Here is a 23,393-nt window from a genome sequence, read left to right on the forward strand (position 1 = left end):
ACATAAGGAAACAAACCATTAATAGTGAAAGCCAACAGAAACAACAAACATATTAAGCCTCCCAAGGACTTCAGATATTAATATTTTTAGGTATAGAATAAAAAAATATGTAAATTGTTTAAAGAACTAAAAGGTAGAATTAAAAATGAGCAATAGACTATTGTTTTGTTTTGTTTTGTTTTTTTGAGACGGAGTCTTGCTCTGTCACCCAGCTGGAGTGCAGTGGCGAGATCTTGGCTCACTGCAAGCTCCACCTCCAGGGTTCACGCCATTCTCCTGCCTCAGCCTCCTGAGTAGCTGGGACTACAGGCGCCCACCACCACACCCAGCTAATTTTTTGTGTGTTTTTAGTAGAGACAGGGTTTCACCGTGTTAGCCAGGATGGTCTCGATCTCCTGACCTCGTGATCCACCCACCTCGGCCTCCTAAAGTGCTGGGATTACAGGTATGAGCCACAGGGCCCGGCCAAAAATCAGCAATAGACTATTTAGAAGGACTAGGCACTAGAATCTTTAAAAATGAAAAACGTAATTGCTAGTATTTAAAACTCATTGGATAGGCTGGGTGCGGTGGCCCATGCCTGTAATCCTAGCACTTTGGGAAGCCAAGGCAGGTGGATCACCTGAGACCAGGAGTTTGAGACCAGCCTAGCCAACATGGTGAAACCCCCAATCCACTAAAAATACAAAAAATTAGCCAGGCATGGTGGTGGGTGCCTGTAATCCCAGCTACTTGGGAGGCTGAGGCAGGAGAATCACTTGAACCAGGAGGCAGAGGTTGCAGTGAGCCAAGATCATATCTTTGCACTCCAGCCTGGGCAACGAGAGCAAGACTCTGTCTCAAAAAACAAAAACAAAACTCATTGGATAAACTAGATATCATATTAGACACAGCTGAAGAGAGGATTTGTGAACCAGAAGATATATCTGAAGGAACTTCCTAGACTGTAGCACCGAAGGGAAAAAAGAGAAAACATGAAATAAGGTATAAGAAGGATAGAATGAGAAAATCTAATATACATCTAATGTGAGTGCCAGAGAGGAAGGAATAAAGAGGATAGAGGAGAGGCAATATTCAATGGATTTGGGTTGAAATTTCTTAAAAATTGATGAAAGACATGAATCCAGATAAAATATTAATAGGCACAATATTAGCCAAAACAAAACGTAATCCCCTTTCATACATTATACTGAAGTTGAACAACAAAGAAAAAAAAAAAACAGAAGATCTGAAATGTAGCCAGAGATAAAAGAAAAATCTTTATAATAGAATTACAGATTAGTTTTCAGACTTCTCAGTAGGAATAATGAAAGCCAAAAGACACCCTCTCCTGTTGCCGTGTGAAGATGTGCTTGCCTCCCCTTTGCCTTCTGCCATGATTGTAGGTTTCTTGAGGCCTACCCTCAAGAAACATAGCTTGAGTACAGACTGCAGAACTGATTACTCAGATTATCATGGCAGATGGGAGGCAGAACTAGATTGCAGCTCCAACATGGAGCTTCTGTACAGACTGCAGAGCTGATTATTCAGATTATCATGGCAGATGGGAGCCAGAACTAGATTGCAGCTCTAATGTGGATGGACAGAGCAGCGTGTGGAGGCTGGCATCATGAATTTTAGCTCCAGAATGACTGCAGAAATAAATCGAGAATCCCAAGACAACCCACAGACCCTCTGAAGGAAGCAGACTGCTCCTGCAGGACTTGGGAGACACCCCAAATACTCTGGGAGGTGGGTAGCCTGGGGCAAGTTCTCAGCCCTGCTTGCCCACTGTCTGGAAAGAGACTTGGTGCTGTTGAGGGGCATGGTGGGAGTGAGACTGGCCCTTTGGATTGTGTGGGAGCTGGATGAGGCCTGTGATTGCCAGCTTTTCCCCACTTCCCTGACAACCTGCATGACTCAGCAGAGGCAGCCATAATCACTTGGTATACAACTCCATTGACCTGGGCACCTCACCCCCATCCCTCACAGCAGCCTCAGCAAGACCCACCCAAGGAGAGTCTGAGCTCAGACATGCCTAGCCCCACCCCCACCTGATGGTCCTTCCCTACCCACCCTGGTTGCTGAAGACAAAGGGCATATACCCTTGAGAGTTCTAGGGCCCTGTCCACCACTGGTTTCTCTCCATAATACCACAGCTGATGCTCTCTGGAAAGCACCACCTCCCAGCAGGAGGCCAACAAGCACAAAAATAGGACATTAAACCACCAAAGCTAAGAACCTTCACAGAGTCCATTTCAACCCCCTGCCATCTCCACTGGAACAGGTGCTGGTATTCACGGCCGAGAGACCCATAGATAGTTCACATCACGGGACTCTGTGCAGACAGCCCCCAGTACCAGCCCAGAGCCTGGTAGACTTGCTGGGTGGCTAGACCCAGAAGAAAGATAACAATCGCTGCAGCTCGGTTCTCAGGAAGCCACATCCATAAGAAAGGTGGGGAGAGTACTACATCAAAGGAACACTCAATGGATAAAAGAATGTAAACAACAGCCTTCAGCCCTAGACTTTCCTTCTGACAGAGCCTACCCAAATGAGATGGAACCAGGAAACCAACTCTGGTAATACGACAAAACAAGGCTCTTTAACACTCCCCAAAAAATCACACTAGCTCACCAGCATTGGGGCCAAACCAAGAAGAAATCCCTGATTTAACTGAAAAAGAATTCAGGAGGTTAGTTATTAAGCTAATCATGGAGGCTCCAGAGAAAGGCGAAGCCCAATGCAAGGAAATCCAAAAACTGGTACAAGAAGTGGAGGGAGAAATATTCAAGGAAATAGATAGCATCAAGAAAAAACAAAACTTCAGGAAACATTGGACACACTTACAGAAATGCAAAATGCTCTGGAAAGTCTCTGCAATAGAATTGAGCAAATAGAAGAAAGAAATTCAGAGCTCAAAGTCTTTGAATTAACCCAATCCAACAAAGACAAAGAAAAAAGAATAAGAAAATATGAACAAAGCCTCCAAGAAGTCTGGGATTATGTTAAACAACCAAACCTAAGAATAATTGGTGTTCCTGAGGAAGAAGAGAAACCTAAAGTTTGGAAAATATATTTGGGGGAATAATCGAGGAAAACTTCCCCAGCCTTGCTAGAGACCTAGACATCCAAATACAAGAAGCACAAAGAACACTTGAGAAATTCTTTGCAAAAAGATCATCATCTAGGCACACTGTCATCAGGTTATCTAAAGTTAAGGTGAAGGAAAGAATCTTAAGAGCCGTGAGACAAAAGCACTAGGTAACCTATAAAGGAAAACCTATCAGATTAACAGCAAATTTTTCAGCAGGAACCCTACAAGCTAGAGGGGATTGGGGCCCTATCTTCAGCCTCCTCAAACAAAACAATTATCGCCAAGAATTTTGTATCCCGTGAAACTAACCATCACGTGTAAAGGAGAGATAGAGTCTTTTTCAGACAAACAAATGCTAAGACAATTTGCCACTAACAAGCCACCACTACAAGAACTGCTAGAAGGAGCTCTAAATCTTGAAACAAATCCTGGAAACACATCAAGATGGAACCTCTTTAAAGCATAAATCTCACAGGACCTATAAAACAAAAATACAGTTTAAAAAGCATAAACAAAAAATCGAAAACCAAGGTACAAGGCAACAAATAGCACGATGAATGCAATGGTACCTCACATCTCAATACTAACATTGAATATAAATGACCTAAATGCTCCACTTAAAAGATACAGAACTGCAGACTGGATGAGAACTCACCAACCAACTATCTGCTGCCTTCAAGAGACTCACCTAACACATAAGGACTTGCATAAACTTAAAGTAAAGGAGTGGAAAAAGGCATTTCATGCAAATGGACACCAAAAGAGAGCAGGGATAGCTATTTTCATGTCAGACAAAACAAACTTTAATGCAATAGCAGTTAAAAAAGACAAAGAGGGACATTATATAATGGTAAAAGGCCTTGTCCAACAGGAAAATAACACAATCCTAAACATATATGCACCTAACACTGGAGTTCCCACATTTATAAAACAATTACTAATAGACCTAAGGAATGAGATAAACAGCAACACAATAATAGTGGTGGACCTCAATACTCTACTGACAGCACTAGATAGGTCATCAAGACAGAAAGTCAACAAAGAAACAATGGATTTAAACTATACCTTGGAACAAATAGACTTAACAGATATATACAGAACATTGCATCTAACAACTGCAGAATACACTTTCTATTCAACACTGCATGGAACTTTCTCCAAGATAGACCATCTGATAGGCCACATAATGACCTCAATAAATTTAAGAAAATTAAAATTATATCAAGAACTCTCTTGGACCACAGTGGAATAAAATTGGAAATCAACTCCAAAAGGAACTTTCAAAACCATGCAAATATATGGAAATTAAATAACTTGCTCCTGAATAATCATTGGGTCAAAAACAACATCAAGATGGAAATTAAAAAGTTCTTCAAACTGAATGACAATAATGAGGCAACCTATCAAAACCTCTGAAATACAGCAAAGGTGGTGCTAAGAGGAAAGTTCATAACCCTAAATGCCTACATCAAAAAGATTGAAAGGACACAAACTGACATTCTAAGGTTATACTTCAAGGAACTAGAGAAACAAGAAAAAAAAACAAACCCAAACCCAGCAGAAGAAAGGAAACAACGAAGATCAGAGCAGAACTAAATGAAATTGAAACAAAAAAAAAATACAAAAGATAAGTGAAACAAAAAGCTGGTTCTTTGAAAAGATAAATAAAATTGATAGGCCATTAGCAGGATTAACCAAGAAACGAAGAAAGAAAATCCAAATAACCTCAATAAGAAACGTAACAGGAGATATTACAACTGACACTACAGAAATACAAAAGATCATTCAGTGCTACTATGAACACCTTTATGCACATAAACTAGAAAATCTAGAAGGAGTGGATAAATTCCTGGAAAAATACAACCCTCCTAGCTTAAATCAGGAAGAAATAGATACCCTGAACAGACCAATAAAAAGTAGCGAGATTGAAATGGTAATTTAAAAATTACCAACCATAAAAATCCAGGATCAGATGGATTCATGGCAGAATTCTACCAGACATTCAAAGAAAAATTGCTACCAATCCTTTTGACAATATTCCACAAGATAGAGAAAGACAGATTCCTCCCTAATTCTTTCTATGAAGCCATCATCACCCTAATACCAAAACCAGGAAAGGACATAACCAAAAAAGAAAACTACAGACCACTATTCCTGATGAACATAGGTGCTAAAACCCATAACAAAATACTAGTTAACAAAATCCAACAACATATCAAAAAGATAATCCACCAGCTGGGCACAGTGGCTCACACCTGTAATCCCAGCACTTTGGAAGGCCAAGGTGGGCAGATCACCTGAGGTCAGGAGTTTGAGACCAGCCTGGCCAACTTGGTGAAACCCTGTCCCTACTAAAATTAGAAAAATTAGCTGGGCATGGTTGCAGGCGCCTGTAATCCCAGCTGCTTAGGAGGCTGAGGCAGGAGAACTGCTTGAACCCAGGAGGCGGAGGTTGCAGTGAGCTGAGATCGTGCCACTGCACTCCAGCCTGGGCGACAGAGGGAGACTCCCAGCTACTCAGGGGGCTAAGGCAGGAGAATTGCTTGAACCCGGGAGGCAGATGTTGCAGTGAGCCAAGATTGTGCCACTGCACTCCAGCCTGGGCAACAGAGGGAGATTCCATCTCAAAACAACAACAACAACAAAAAACAAAACAAAACAAAACAAAAACCATGATAATCCACCATGATCAAGTGGGTTTCATATCAGGGATCCAGGGATGGTTTAACATACACAAGTCAATAAATGTGAAACACTACATACACAGAATTAAAAAAAAAAATCACATGATCATCTCAATAGATGCAGAAGAGGCATTCGGCAAAATCCAGCATCGTTTTATGATTAAAACTCTCAGCAAAATCAACATACAAGGGATATACCTCAATGTAATAAAAGCCATCTATGACAAACCCACAGCCAACATAATACTGAATGGGGAAAAGTTGAAAGCATTCCCTCTGAGAACTGGAACAAGACAAGGATGCCCACTGTCACCTCTCCTCTTCAACATAGTACTGGAAGTCCTAGCCAGAGGAATCAGACAAGAGAAAAAAATAAAGGGCATCCAAATCAGTAAAGAGGAAGTCAAAGTGTCACTGTTTGCTGACAATATGATTATTTTCCTTGAAAACCCTAAAGACTCCTCCAGAAAGCTCCTAGAACTGATAAAAGAATTCAGCAAAGTTTCCAGATACAAGATTAATGTACACAAATCAGTAGCTCTCCTATATACTAACAGCAGAGAATCAAATCAAGAACTCAACCCTTTTCATGATAGTTGCAAAAAAAAAAAAAAATACTTAGGAATATACCTAACAAAGGAGGCAAAAGACCTCTACAGGGAAAACTACAAAACACTGCTGAAAGAAATCATAGATGACACAAACAAATGGAAACACATCCCATGCTCATGGATGGGTAGAGTCAATATTGTGAAAATGACCATACTGTCAAAAGCAATCTATAAATTCGATGCAATCCCCATCAAAATACCACCATCATTCTTCAAAGAATTATAAAAAAGAATTCTAAAATTCATATGGAACCAAAAAAGAGCCCACAAAGCCAAAGCAAGATTAAGCAAAAAGAACAAATCTAGAGGCATCAAACAACCTGATTTCAAACTATACTATAAGCCCATTGTCACCCAAACAGCATGGTACTGGTATAAAAATAGGCACATAGACCAATGGAACAGAATAGAGAACCCAGAAATAAACCCAAATACTTGCAGCCAACTGATCTTCAACAAAGCAAACAAAAACGTAAAATGGGGAAAGGACACCCCTTTCAACAAATGGGGCTGGGATAATTGGCAAGCCACATGTAGGAGAATGAAACTGGATTCTTGTCGCTCACTTTGTACAAAAATCAACTCAAGATGGATTAGGGACTTAAATCTAAGACCTGAAAGTATAAAAATTCTAGAAGATAACTGGAAAAACCCTTCTAGATATTGGCTTAGGCAAGGATTTCATGACCAAGAAGCCAAAAGCAAACGCAATACAAACAAAGATAAATAGCTGGGACTTAATTAAAGAGATTTTGCATGGCAAAAGGAACAGTCAGCAGAGTAAACAGACAACCCACAGAGTGAGAGAAAATCTTCACAATCTATACATTTGACAAAGGACTAATATCCAGAATCTGCAACAAACTTAGACAAATCAGCAAGCAAAAAAAATCCCATCAAAAAATAGGTTAAAGACATGAATAGGCAATTCTCAAAAGAAAATATGTAAATGGCCAACAAACATATGAAAAAATGCTCAACATCACTAATGATCAGGGAAATGCAAATCAAAACCACAATGCAATACCACCTTACTCCTTCAAGAGTGGTCATAATCAAAAAATTAAAAAAAAAAACAGTAGATGTTGGCATGGATGTAGTGATCAGGGAATGCTTCTACACTGCTGGTGGGAATGTAAACTAGTACAGCCACTATGGAAAACAGTGTGGAGATTCCTTAAAGAACTGAAAGTAGAACTGCCATTTGATCCAGCAATCCCACTACTGGGTATCTACCCAGAAGAAAAGAAGTCATTATTCAAAAAAGAAACTTGCACACGCGTGTTTATAGCAGCACAATTCGCAATTGCAGAATCGTGGAACCAACCCAAATGCCCATCAATCAACTAGTGGTTAAAGAAACTGTGAAGGCCGGGCGCGGTGGCTCACGCCTGTAATCCCAGCACTTTGGGAGGCCGAGGCGGGTGGATCATGAGGTCAGGAGATCGAGACCATCCTGGCTAACAAGGTGAAACCCCGTCTCTACTAAAAATACAAAAAATTAGCCGGGCGCGGTGGCGGGCGCCTGTAGTCCCAGCTACTCGGGAGGCTGAGGCAGGAGAATGGCGTGAACCCGGGAAGCGGAGCTTGCAGTGAGCCGAGATTGCGCCACTGCAGTCCGCAGTCTGGCCTGGGCGACAGAGCGAGACTCCGTCTCAAAAAAAAAAAAAAAAAAAAAAAGGAACTGTGAAAAAAATATATATATATGCCATATATATGTACATATATATGACGTATATGTACATATATATGACGTATATATGTACATATATATGACGTATATGTACATATATGACGTATATGTACATATATATGACGTATATGCACATATATATGACGTATATGTGTACATATATATGACGTATATATGTACATATATATACGTCTATATATGTACATATATATGACGTATATATGTACATATATATGACGTATATATGTACATATATATGACGTATATATGTACATATATATGACGTCTATATATGTACATATATATGACTATATATGTACATATATATGACGTATATATGTACATATATATGACTATATATGTACATATATGATGTATATATGTACATATATATGACGTATATATATGTACATATATATGACGTATATATATGATGGAATACTACTCAGCCATAAAAAAGAATGAATTAACGGCATTCGCAGCGACCTGGATGAGATTGGAGACTATTATTCTAAGTGAAGTAACTCAGGAATGGAAAACCAAACATCATATATTCTCGCTGATATGTGGGAGCTAAACTATGAGGATGCAAAGGCATATGAATGATGCAATGGACTTGGGGGACTCAGGGGAAAGGGTGGGAGGGGGGCGAGGGATAAAAGTCTACAAATAGGGTGCAGTGTATACTTCTCAGGTGATGGTTGCACCAAAATCTCACAAATCACCAGTAAAGAATTTACTCTTGTAACCAAACACCACCTGTACTCCAATAACCTATGGAAAAATAAATAAAATAAAAAAGAAAGCCAAAAGACAATGAAATATCTTCAAAATGCTGAGAGAAAGTAACTATGAGCCTACAATTGTGTATCCAGCAAAACTATCATTCAATAATATCTGTGAACAAAAAGTGAATTTACTACCAACAGTCTTTCACCAAGGAAGTAAAAGAAATATCAGAAAGAATGTAAATGATGCTAAAAGGGAAGTATAAGACGTAAGAAGGAACAAAAAAAGACATGGATAATATATAGGTAAATGTAAATAAACATTCTCCGTACACAACAGTTGTTCTCACTTGGGCATAATTTTGCCCCCAGGGAACATTTGGTAACATATCTGGAGAAAATTTTTGGATGTTAAAACTGGGCAAGCGGATAAGTTTGCTACTGGCATCTGCTCAACATCCTTCAATGCATAGTATAGTTCTCCCATCTCCCACACAAAGAATTGTTAGGCCCAAAATGTCAGTAGTAGCAAGACAGAAACCTTAAAATCATAAAAATAATGTCTAAGTTGTGGAGGAAAGGCAGGTATTTCAGGAGGGGTGATCAGAGTCAAACTGGTTTCAGGTCCCTGTATTATTCAGGAGAAGTATTTAAATACTGATTAACATTATATTTGTTACACATAAATGGTCAAATTTTAGTAATAGCAATAAATTCCTAAAAGGAAAAAAATTATAACTGGCTCAAGAAGAAATGAATATCTGAATAAACTTGTAACAAGTACATAAATATAATTAGTAATTTAAAGTCTTCCCATTTAAAAAAAACCCAAGCCCAGTTCACTTCACAGGTGAATTACATCAAATATTTTAGGAAGAGATAGTTCTAATATTACACACTCAGAAAATAGAGAAGGGAGTATTTCCCAGATAATTATATAAGCCTAGTATTATTATCCTGACACCAAACCAAAAACATTACAAGAAAACTACAGAGAAACAGCTTTCATGAATAAAGACTCAAAAATCATCAACAAAATGTTAGCAAACTGAATACAGCAACATATAAAAAAGGATTATATACACTACCTAGTGGAATTTCTTCAAAAAATGCAAGTTTGGTTTTACATCTGAAAATCAATAAAATAAAATAAAGCCTATATTAATAAAAGATAAAAATGACAAGATCACTGCAAATAATGTGGAAAATGTATTTGATAAAATCCAACACCATTCTAAGTTTAAAAATTCTCAAAAGAAATAGCAATAAGAAGTCCTAGCCATAGCAATTAGGCAAGAGAAAGAAATAAAAGGTAACCAAATAGGAAAAGCAGCCAAACTATCTGTCTTCACTAATGGTATGATTCTATGCCTAGAAAACCCTAAAGACTCCACCAAAGGCTCCTGGAACTGATAAATGACTTTGGTAAAGTTCCAGGATACAAAATAAATGTACAAAAATCAGTAGCATTTCTATACATCAATAACATTCAAGTTGAGAGCCAAATCAAGAATGCGATGTCATTTAAAATAGCCACACACACCAAAAAAACAAAAAACAAACATACAAAAAAATCCCTAGGAATACATCTCACCAAGGAGGCGAAAGATCTCTACAAGGAGAACTACAAAATGCTGCTGAAAGAAATCATAGATGACACAAACAAATGCGAAAACATTTCATGTTCATAGACAGGAAAAATCAATATCATTATAATGTCCATACTGCCCAAATCAGTCTATAGATTCAATGATATTGCTATCAAGCTACCAATGTTGTTTTTTCACAGGTCTAGAAAAAACTTTTCTAAAATGTATATGGAACCCAAAAAGAGCCCAAGTAGCCAAAGCAATCTTAAGCAAAAAGAACAAAGCTGGAAGCATCACATTACCCAACTTCAAACTATACTATAAGATTACAGTAACATTGGACATGGTGACTCTTGCCTATAATCTCAGCACTTTGGGAGGCCAAGGTGGGCGGATCACTTGTGGTCAGGAGTTTGAGACTAGCCTGGCCAATATGGTTCTAACCTCGTCTCTACTAAAAATACAAAAATTAGCCAGGTGTGGTGGCACACACCTGTAATCCCAGCTACTTGGGAGGCTGAGGCAGGAGAATCGCTTGAACGTGGAAGGGGAGGTTGCAGTGAGCTGAGATCATGCCACTGTACTCAAGCCTGGGCGACAGAGCAAGACTCCATCTCAAAAAAAAAAAAAAAAAAGACTACAGTAACCAAAACAACATGGTATTGTTACCAAAACAGCATGGTATTGTTACAAAAACAGACACATAGACCAATAGAACAGAATAGACATCCCAGAAATAAAGCCACACACCATCTGATCTTTGACAAAGACAATGGGCAAAGAACTCCCTATTCAATAAATGGTGCTGGGATAGCTGGCTAGCCATATGCAGAAGAATGAAACCAGACCTCTATCCTATCACCATATGCAAAAATTAACTCAAGATGGGTTAAAGATTTAAATGTAAGAGCTCAAGCTACAAGAATCCTAGAAGAAAACCCAAGAAACGCCATTCTGGACATTGGCCTTGGGAAAGAGTTTATGACTAAGTCCTCAAAAGCAACTGCAACAAAAACAAAAATTGACAAGTGGGAACTAATTAAACTGAAAAACCTCTGCACAGCAAAAGAAACTATCAACAGAGGAAACAGACAACCTACAGAATGAGAGAAAATACTTGCAAGCTACATATCCTACAAAGGTCTACTATCCAGGATCTATAAAGAACTTAAACAATTGAACAGGCCAAAACCAATTAACCCCATTAAAACACGGGCAAAAGACATGAACAGATACTTCTCAAAAGACATACAAGCAGCCAACAACACATGAAAAAATGTTAAACATCACTAATCATCAGAGAAATGCAAATCAAAACCATAATGAGATACTATCTCACACTAATCAGAATGGCTATTGCTAAAAAAACCAAAAAACATGCTGCCAAGGCTGTGAGAGAAAGGAATGCTTACACACTGCTGGTGGGAATAGAAATTAGTTCAGCTTCTGTGGAAAGCAGTTTGGAGATTTCTCAAAGAACTTAAACCAGAATCACCGCTGCACCCAGCAATCCTATTACTCTGTATCTATCCAAAGGAATATAAATCATTCTACCAAAAAGACGCATGCACTCCTATGTTCATCGCAGCACTGTTTGTAATAGCAAAGACATGGAATCAACCAAGGTGCCCATCAACAATAGACTGGATAGGCCGGGTGCGGTGGCTCACGCCTGTAATCCCAGCACTGTGGGAGGCTGAGGCGGGCAGATCATGAGGTCAGGAGATCGAGACCATCCTGGCTAACACGGCGAAACCCCGTCTCTACTAAATATACAAAAAATTAGCTGGGTGTGGTGGCGGGCGCCTGTAGTCCCAGCTACTCAGGAGGCTGAGGCAGGAGAATGGCGTGAACCTGGGAGGCGGAGCTTCCAAGGAGCAGAGATCGTGCCACTGCACTCCAGCCTGGGTGACAGATCAAGACTCTGTCTCAAAAAAAAAAAAAAAAAAAAGACTGGATAAAGAAAGTGTGGTACATATGCACCATGGAATACTATACAGCCATAAAAAAACAGAATCATGTCCTTTGCAGCAGCATGAATGGAGTTGGAGGCCATTATCCTAAGTGAATTAACACAGGAACAGAAAACCAAATACTGCATGTTCTCACTTATAAGTGGGAGGTAAATAGTGGGTACTCATGGACATAAAGGTGGTCACAAAAGACACCAGGGACTACTAAAAGAGGATGGGAGGGAGGGGCCAAGGGCTAAAAAGCTAATTTGGGGGTACTATGCTCAGTATATGGGTTCAATTATACCCTGGGTGACAGGATCAGTTGTACCCAAAACCTCAGCATCATGCATATATCTAGGTAACACGTATCCCCTGAATCTGAAATAAAAGTTGAAATTCTTTTTTTAAAAAAATAGCAGTAGAAGGAAGCTTAAACTGATAAAGAGCATCTATAAAGAATAAGCTAACCATCCTACCTAATGGTAAAATAATGAATGCTTTCCCTATAAAATCAGGAACAAAGCAAGGATTTTAGCCTGTGCAATGGGCAAGAAAAAGACATTAAAGGCACACAAATTGGAAATCAAAAAGGGAAACTTTATTCACAGATGACATGATTATGTAAATGTAGAAATGCTTAAGGAATCTACAAAACAATCTAGTAAAACAAGTTCGTTGAGGTTATAGGAAGACAAAAATCAATATGTCTATACTTGCAATAAACTATCTGAAAACAAAATTTAAGAACACAATTCCATTCATAATAGCGTTTATTTATTTATTTTTATTTTTTGAGACAGTCTCACTCTTTCACCCAGGGTGGAGTGCAATGGTGCAATCTCAGCTCACTGCAATCTCTGCCTCCCAGGTTCAAGCGATTCTCATGCCTCAGCCTCCTGAGCTTCCTGAGTAGCTGGGATTACAGGCATGCGCCGCCACGCGTGGCTAAGTTTTGTATTTTTAGTAGAGACGGGGTTTCACTATGTTGGCCAGGCTGGTCTCAAACTCCTGGCCTCAAGTGATCCGCCTGCCTTGGCATCCCAAAGTGCTGGGATTACAGACATTAGCCACCATGCCCGGCCCATAATAGCATTTAAAATAATGAATAATTAGGAACAGATTTAACAAAAGATGTGTAAGACTTGTACACTGAAAACTACAAAAACATCACTTAGAGAAATTAAAGAAGACTTAAACTAAATGGAGACTCATACTGCATTCATGGGTTAGAAGACTCAATGTTGTTAATACGGCAATTATTCACAGATTGGCCTATCAAAATGCCAGTAGGATTTTTCGTGCAAACTAACAAGCCGATCCTAAAATGTATATGGAAAGGCAAGGGATCTAGAATAGCCAAAATTATTTTGGGGAAAAAAAAAAAAAAACTGAAGGAGTTAGACTGTCTGATTTCAAAACGTATTATAAAACCACAGCAATCAACACATTGGGATAAAGACAGACCTGTAGAGGCTGGGAGTGGTGGCTCATGCCTGTAATCCCAGCATTTTGGGAGACCAAGGCAAGAGAATGGCTTGAGCCCAGGAATTTAAAGACCAGCCTGCGCAATACGGTGAGCCCCTATCTCTGCAAAAATAAAAAAAAACAGGTGTGGTGGTACGCAGCTATAGTCCCAGCTACTTGGAAGGTTGAGGCAAGAAGGTCACTTGAGCTCAAGAGTTTGAGGCTTCAGTGAGCCATGATCATGTCACTGCACTTCAGTCTTGGGTAACACAATGAGACCATCTCTAAAAAAATTAATTTAATTTTTGAAAGATAGACTGTAGATTAATGGAACACAACATGGAGGGGGAAAAAAAACCTTATATTTATGGCCAGTTGATTTTCACAACAGTGCCAAGGCAATATAATGGAAAACAGTCTTTTCAACAAATGATGCTGGGACAACTGGATATCCTTACGCCGCGAAAAAAAACCCTTGGAGCTTTTCTCCGTACTATATTCAATAGTGGTACAATCTGAATGTTTGTGTCCATCCAAAATTCATATGTTGAAATCCTCACTCCCAAGGTATGATATTAGGAAGTAGGGCCTTTTGAGAGGGCAGAGCTCTCATCAGCGAGATTAGTGCCCTTATATGAGAGGCCCCAAAAAGCTGCCTTGCCCTTCCACCACGTAAGGATACAGCTGGAAGTCACAACTTATGAACCAGAAAATGGCCCTAATCAGACACCGAATCTGCCAGTGCCTTGATCTTCAATTTCAGCATCCAGAATTGTGAGAAATAAATTCCTGTTGTTTATTAAGCAACTGTTTATAAGCAGTCTATGACATATTTTAGCAGCACAAAGAGACTTAGAGAAATAATTAACTCAAAATGGATCATAGACCTAAGTATAAGAGCTACAGTTGCAAGACTTCTAGAAAAAAGCAAAGAGAAAGTCCTTGAGTCATTGGATTAGGCGATGATTTCTTAGGACACCAAAAGCACAACCATTAATAAAAATAAAAATGATAAATTGGACTTCATCAAAATTTAAACATGTATCCTCTTCAAAAGCCACCATTAAGAAAATCAATGGAAAAAGAGCTGCAAATATCTCCAGCAGTGTATAAAAAAAGATAATACATCATAACCAACTGGCTTTTTGCCAGGAATGTAAATGCTAATTTGACATATTATTATCATTCTGAAAACCCTTTCCTTATTACGTTTTTGTTGCATGCATTTCCATTTCAATATGATATTAGTAATTTTATTGGCCTCCCTGAACCAAAATGATGTAAAGCAAAATATATGGTTTATTAAGAAGGGTCTGACTAGAAAAGAAGGCTGAAAGTAGTCATGTGTAAATTGTTATCATTAACGAGAATTTTTAAGGAAAAATTTGTTTTAAGGCCAGGCAAAGAGGCTAATGCCTGTAATCCCTAAACTTTGGGAGTCTGAGGCAGGTGGATCACTTGAGCTCAGGAGTTTGAGACCAGCCTGGGCAACATGGCAAAACCCCGTCTCCACAAAAAATACCAAAAAATTAGCAGGGCATGGTGGTATATGCCTGTAGTCCCAGCTACTCAGGAGGCTGAAGTGGGAGGATCACTTGAGGCCCACGAGGTTGAGACTGTAGTAAACTGTGATTGTGTCACTGCACTCCAGCCTGAGCAACAAAGCAAGAGCCTGTCACAAAAACATTAAAAAATAAAAAATTGGATAAAGATTTGAAAAGATAAGTCACCATAGTGTTTGCAGAAACAAAAAAGATTTGAAAACACATTTCACCAAGGTAGGTATACAAATGGCTAATAGTACATGAAAAGCTGTTAACACTGGCTGGGTACAGTGGCTCACACCTGTAATCTCAGTGCTTTGGGAGGCCAAGGTGAAAGGATCACTTGCAACCAGGAGTTTGAGACCAGCCTGAGCAACAAAGCAAGATCTCATTGCTACAAAAATTAGCTAGGCACAGTGGTACATGCCTGTAGTCCCAGCTACTTGAGAGGCTAACACACAGGAGGGTCACTTGAGCCTAGGAGCTCAAGGCTGCAGTGAGCTATGATCGCTGTACTACACTCCAGCATGGGTGACACAGCAAGACCTCATTTCAAATATATATTTATGTTAATATCCTTGAAACCTCAATGAGATGCCACTATGCAACTGCTAGAATGATAATCCAAAAGACTAACAAATCAAGTGTTAGTAAGGATGTGGAGAAACTGGAGCCCTTATACATTGCTGAGGAGAATGTAAAATGGTAAAGCCACTTAGGAAAACAGTTTGACGGTTTCTGGGAAAGTTAAATATGCACTTACCCTGTTAAGCATAGTTACCATATGACCTAGCAATTCCATTCCTGGATATCTACCAAAGACAAATGAAAACATGTCCACACAAAAACTTATGAACGCTCATCATAGCATTATTAATAATACACCAAACAGGAAACAATTCAAAGTCCACCAACTAGTGAATGGATATACAAAACATGATATATCCATTCAACAGAACACTATCCCACAACAAAAAGGAAGAAAGCTATCCTGCAATATAGATGAACCTTGAAAACCTTGGTATATAGCTAAATGAAGGAAGCTATATACAAAAGACTACAAATGTGTGATTCCATTTATATAAAATTTCAAGAAAAGGCAAACCTATAGAGACAGGAATCAGTAATTTCTTTTTTTTTTTTTTTTTTTTTTTTTTTTTTTTTGAGACAGAGTTTTGCTCTTGTTGCCCAGGCTGTGTACCATGGCACAATCTCAGCTCACCACAACCTCTGCCTCCCGGGTTCAAGCAATCCTTCTGCCTCAGCCTCCCGAGTAGCTGGGATTACAGGCATGTACCTCCATGCCTGGCTAATTTTTTATATTTTTAGTAGAGACGGGGTTTCTCCATGATGGTCAGGCTGGTCTTGAACTCCTGACCTCAGGTAATCTGCCCGCCTCAGCCTCCCAAAGTGCTGGAATTATAGGCGTGAGCCACTGAGCCCAGCCCATCAGTCATTTCTTAAGTGTGGGGCTGGAGCTGGGAATTGATTACAAGTGAGCATAGGAGGACTCTGTGAGGTGAAGGAAATACTCTAAAACTGGATTGTGGTGCTGGTGTAAATTTAGCAGAAATCACTCAACTGCATTGGTACAATGTGTGATATTCATGTTATGTAAATTAAACCCTAATAAAGCTGTAAAAAAATGACAAAAGGGTAAGCTTTTTAACATCACACATTTGGAGAATTCAAAACACACTACTAAATGACTCATATGTCAAAGAGGAAATCATAATAATTTTAAATACTTAGAATTGAACAATAATGTATATGGTACATAACAAAACTTGAGAGCTGCAGATAGAGGTAAAACATAAAATTTAAAGTTTTAGAAATATATATTTTTAGTTTGAGTCTAGGTGCTGTGGCTCACGCCTGTAATCCCAGCACTTTGGGAGGCTGAGACGGGCAGATCACGAGGTCAAGAGTCCGAGACCAGCCTGGCCAACATGGTAAAAAACCTGTCTCCACCAAAAATACAAAAAATTAGCTGGGCGTGGTGGCGTGAGCCTGTAATCCCAGCTACTTGGGAGGCTGGGGCAGGAGAATCACTTGAACCCCTGAGGCAGAGGTTGCAGTGAGCCAAGATAACGCCACTGCACTCCAGCCCAGGGCGAGACCACTTCAAAAAAAAAAAAAAAAAAAAAAAAAAAAAAAAAAAAAATATATATATATATATATATATATATATATATATATATATATATGTTTATTTAGTTAGTTAGTTTGAATCATACGGAAGAGCAAACATTTGACCTAATATTGAAGAATAAAGTCTGAACACTATGAATTCAAAGTCTAGCTTTTTTAAAGTTTAAATAAACATTGCACTGGCCAAGCACAGTTGTTCACACCTGTAATCCCAACACTTTGGGAGGCCAATGTGGGAGAATTGCTTGGGCCCAGGAGTTCAAGACCAGCCTAGGCAACAGAGCAAGACCCCATCTCTCTAAAAAAAAAAAAAAAAAAAAAAAAAAAGAATATTACAGCCAGACATGGTGGTACATGTCTGTAGTCTCAGCTACTATGGAGGGAGGCTAAAAAAAGAAAGAACATTCTAAACCCATAGAAAGCAGAAAAAAAGACATAAAGGTAAGCACTGCAGTTAATGAACAGAAAATAAAGATAGAAAAGAGAAAACCAACAAGCCAAAATCCAGTTTTCTGAAAAAACAACAAACCACTGGTAAGACTGGTGACAAAAGGAAAGAAGGCACAAATACAAATTAATATTATGAACTAACATATAGCACAGTACTTTTTAAAATGTTATGCTGTAAATTTTAGTACTTAGACAAAACGAATAAATTCCTTTGTAAATAACCCAAACTGAAATTAATAAATTGACTAAATATGAAAATGGTAACTAACCAAAACTGACCAAAGAAGAAATGGAAATCCTCTATAGTCCTATAGAGTGTAAAGGAATTGAATCAGTAGATTTCTTTTTCAAAAATAAAAAACCAGAACTCAGAACAAGTGAGTTCTACCATAATACCAGAGACAGATCATCTAAATCCTATACATACGCTTCCAAAGAATACAAAAGGAAGGAATATACTCCAGCTCAGTGTATGAAATAATCATATTATTGATTCCAAAATCAAGTAAACGCAGTAAGAGAAAGCCCAACGTTATAAATGCAGGCATTTCAAACAAATTATTAGTAATAACACACTAAATCTACAAAGTATATTATAGATAGAATTGATGGTCAGGTACAGTGGCTCACATCTGTCATCTCAGCACTCTGGGAGGCCAAATTAGGAGGCTTGCTTGAGGCCAGGAGTTCAAGATCAGCCTGAGCAACATACTGAGACACTGTTGCTACAAAAAAAACCAAAAAATTATCTGGGCATAGTGGTGCACACCTGTAGTCCTAGCTACTCAAGAGGCTGAGGCAGAAGGATCACATGAGCCCAGGAGGTTGAGGCTGTGGCAACCTATGACTGTGCCACTACACTAGGCACCAGCCTAGGCAACAGAGCAGGACGCTGACTCAAAAAAAATAGAATTAATCATAACCAAATTAGGTTTATCTCAGGAATCCAAGGGTTTAAAATTAGAAGTCAGCCAGCTGTGGTGGTTCACACCTGTAATTCGAACACTTTGAGAGGCCAAGGCAGGAGAATTGCTTGGGCCCATTCAAGAATGGCCTGGGCAATATAGCAAGACCTCAACTCTACAAAAAATTTAAAAATTAGCTGGGTGTGGTGGTACACACCTGTAATCCCAGCTACTTGGAAACTAAGGAGGGAGGATTACTTGAACCCAAGAAGCAGAGGTTGCAGTGAGTACGTCACTGCACTCCAGCCTGGGTGACACAGCAAGATTCTGTCTCAAAAAGTAAATAAATAATAATGAAATAAAATAAAATGAGAAGTCTCAGCTGGGTGCAGTGGCTCATGCTTGCAATCCAAGCACTTTAGGAGGCCAAGGTGGGAAGATCACTTGAAGCCAGGAGTTTGAGAGCAGCCTGGGCAACACAGCAAGACCCCATCCCTACCAAAAATAACAATTAGCTGGGCATGATGGCACATGCCCATAGTCCCAGGCACTCGGGAGGTTGAGGTGGGAGGATTGCTTGAGCCCAGGAGTTTGAGGCTGCAGTGAGCTAATTGTGCCACTGCACTCTGGGACCCAGGCAAGAGGGCAAGACCCTGTCTCAAAAATAATAATATAAATAAATAAAATTAGAAGTCTCTTGATGGAATTCATCACAGATTGGTTAAAGGATAAAAAATATTTTCTGAATAAATGCAGTAGAAGCATTGTTAGAAACTCTTAACAGTCTAGACATAGAAGGGAATTTCCTTAACCTAATTAAGGTTAATGACCTCTAACCTACAGCAAACATCATTACAGTAAAACATTCCTTTAAAATCAAGAACAACTTCTCCACTTGTATTCAATACTGTAGAAGTACTACCAAGTGTGTTAATACTAGAAGAAGGTACACACACAACTTACAAAGGAAATAACAAAATATTCATTAGTCACAGATGATGTAACTAAAATAGGCTCTAAAATCCATTGGAATTAACAGAGTTTAGTAATACAGCCAGCATAAGACCATATACAAAATCTACTCCATTTCTATACACTAGCAGTAATTTTAAAACAGCCTCCCAAAGTGCTGGGATGACACACAAGGATGACTATAATTAAAAAGTTAGACAATAACAAGCATTGATGAGGATGTGAAGAATTTGAAACCCTCGTACTTTGCTAGTGGGAATATAAAAAGGCACATCTGGCCAGGCATGGTGGCTCACACCTGTAATCCTAGCACTTTGGGAGGCCGAGATGAGTGGATCACTTGAAGTCAGGAGTTCGAGAACAGCCTGGCCAACATGGTGAAACCCCATCTCTACTAAAAACACAAAAATTAGCTGGGCATGGTGGTGAGTGCCTGTAATCCCAGCTACTCAGGAGGCTGAGGCAGGAGGATTGCTTGAACCTGGGAGGCAGAGGTTGTAGTGAGCCGAGATCACGCCACTGCACTGCAGCCTGGGTGACAGAGTGAGACGCCATCTCAAAAATTAAAAAAAAAAAAAAAATTAGCCAGGTGTGGTGTTGCACACCTGTAATCCCAGTTACTCAGGAAGCTGAGGCACAAGAGTTGCTTGAACCCAGGAGGCAGAGGTTGCAGTGAGCCGAGATCACGTCACTGCACTCCAGCCTGGGCAATAGATCAAGACTCTATCTCAAAAACGAACAAACAAACATTTAGGTAAACATTCTTCTACAATCTTCCTAGGCATACATACATATTCATACACATATATATGAATATAATTTTACATAATTATTGCATCAGTCACTTTGGAAAGAAAACATAAAACACTAACATTTAAATCACTGTAAAAATGTCTGCTCCAAGATAACTTACTGGTATTTTTTGTTAACAGGTAACGCTACAAATATTTTACAAGATGCAGAAGTGCATTATATTTCTCGAGAGATGTGTAATTCTGAGAGGAGTTATGGGGGAATAATTCCTAACACTTCATTTTGTGCAGGTGATGAAGATGGAGCTTTTGATACTTGCAGGGTAAGACCAAGTAATTTTCCTTTAAAATATTTTCTGAAGCCAGAAGGGAACTTGTCAAACAAGGCCTTTGATAACTTTCTGGTGGTCTTAATTATCAGGCCTAAAAATAATAAATCATTTTTTCTCCTTTTTAACTATTTCAACAATCCAAATCTTCTTGGTTCCTGATTCCATGGTTTCTGCTGTCATCAGTAGGCAGAATTTACCTTGAATTCTTTTTTTTAATCATTACCTTTGAGATATAATTCACCTAGTTAAAAGTGTACAGCTCAATTTTTTTTTTATTTGAGATAGTCTCGCTTTGTCACCCATGCTGGAGTGCAGTGACACAATCTCTGTTCACTGCAACCTCTGCCTCCCAGGTTCAAGCGATTCTCATCCCTCAGCCTCCTAGGTAGCTGGAATTACAGGCACACATCACTATGCCCGGCCATTCTTTTTTTTTTTTTTTGTATTTTCAGTAGAGACAGGGCTTCACCTTGTTGACCAGGCTGGTCTTGAACTCCTGACCTCAAGTGATCTGCCCACCTTGGCCTCCCAAAGTGCTGGGATTACAGGGGTGAGCCACTGCGCCCAGCCTGTTACTGTCTTTTTTATTATAACCATCCTTGTGGGTGCGCAGTGGTATCTCATAGTGGTTTTAATTTGCATTTCCTTAATGACTAATGATGTTGAGCATTTTTGCATGTATTTATTAGCCATTTATATATCTTCTTTACAGAATGTCTATTTGGATCCCTTCCTCATTTTTAAATTGAGTTGTCTTTTTATCACTGAGTTATAAGCATTTTTCATATATTCTGGATACAAGTCCCTTACCAGATACATAATGTACAAAATTTTTCTCCCATTCTGTAGACTGTTTTTTCACTTTTCTGAGGTTATCATTTGCAGCACAAATGTTAATTTTTTTAATGAAGTACAATTGATCCATTTTTTGTTTTGTCTCATGCTTTTTTACTCTTCCTTTATTCCTCTTTTCTTCACTATTTCCAAAGCTACTAGTCCTTCACTCCTGAGTAACCCATGCTCTCACCTTTTCCTACTCATTCTCATTTCTGCAATCTAAAGTTTATCTTTTCTGTGTCCTTTTCCTTAAAAATCTTGCTGAATGAAATAGTAAAGAATCCAATCTAAGTGAATTGCATTCCTAGGCCAAACATCCTCATCATCAAAAAATAATTATTCAATGCCTGCCTTATATAGAGAATCGGAAACAGTTATCTCAGTGTCCTTGTTGTTTTCAGTGCATTAACAGGCCTTAGTAACAGCATTTGGGTGCATTCCTAATTTTGTATAGACTATGAAAGTGACCTGTCATTTATAATACTACTGAGAGGCTTTGCCATTTATGCTCATTTTCCTGCACTAGCTATTGTCAACACTTAGAAACTTGTCTTCTATTGCAAGATGCCAGTTTACTCCTCTCCCTGGCAAGCAAACCACACACGTGCCTAAAAGAATCCTTCATACATCTTAAAGTTATCCTTTCCACACGCAGTATTCAGCAAGAGAATATTCTAATAATAGACAGTTTTGACAATATTTTGCACACTTCCTAAATTATATTTCTCCTAAGTAATTATATTTAAAAATCCAAACAATTTGATTTATAGTATTCTGGCTCAAAACCAGGCAGATGAGAAATTTATCTACCAGCTATATGGTTCCTCCAAATACCTGGGTAAAATTGAATTCCTCCTGTTTGAGTTGGAAGTTTAAGCTCAAAATCTAGTGATCTTTATAAATTGGGGGTATATTGAAAATGTGTATTTATATAAATGTATGTTTGATGTAAATAATTTATTCCAGTGTTACTGTTGCTTGAAGAATACTAGAAGTAACAAACACTATTTTGGGACTTTTTTGACAGGGTGACAGTGGGGGACCATTAATGTGCTACTTACCAGAATATAAAAGATTTTTTGTAATGGGAATTACCAGTTACGGACATGGCTGTGGTCGAAGAGGTTTTCCTGGTGTCTATATTGGGCCATCCTTCTACCAAAAGTGGCTGACAGAGCATTTCTTCCATGCAAGCACTCAAGGCATACTTACTATAAATATTTTACGTGGCCAGATCCTCATAGCTTTATGTTTTGTCATCTTACTAGCAACAACATAAAGAAATTCTGAAGGCTTTCATATCTTTATTTTGCATTGTGTCCCTTTCTATGTTCTATATAATGAACATCATTTATTCTTCTAGCAATTAATTGCCTACATTAGAGATTTCATGTGAACATTTTATGGGCTATAAGTATTGTGACAGATATACAATTGTAATTTTGGCACTGAATCACATGTCTCCTTGAAATATCTTGATTATTTTATAATCATAATTCTGTATCTGGAATACTCATAGAGTTTGTACAAAATATTCAGTTAAACATATATTTTATGTGTATAAATGCCAAATAATAGTTTATAATTAAAATGAAAGCTGTCATTTGGTTAAATTAATAAAAATTCTTTCTTAGATTTTATTCTAAAAAA

At 38.6% G+C, this 23,393-nt stretch overlaps 1 protein-coding gene across 1 annotated transcript in view; it reads left to right on the forward strand.

The window, feature by feature from the left end:
* TMPRSS12 (transmembrane serine protease 12) overlaps positions 1 to 23,393 on the forward strand; it is a 44,959-nt gene extending 21,566 nt beyond the window's left edge. Inside the window, exons 4-5 of the mRNA NM_182559.3 lie at positions 20,755 to 20,897; positions 22,771 to 23,393. Coding sequence (NP_872365.2) covers positions 20,755 to 20,897; positions 22,771 to 23,022 — 395 coding nt within the window. The 3' untranslated portion in view covers positions 23,023 to 23,393. The remainder of the gene's footprint in view (positions 1 to 20,754; positions 20,898 to 22,770) is intronic.

This window comes from Homo sapiens, chromosome 12, assembly GCF_000001405.40.
Source record: "Homo sapiens chromosome 12, GRCh38.p14 Primary Assembly".
Lineage (NCBI taxonomy): Eukaryota > Metazoa > Chordata > Mammalia > Primates > Hominidae > Homo > Homo sapiens.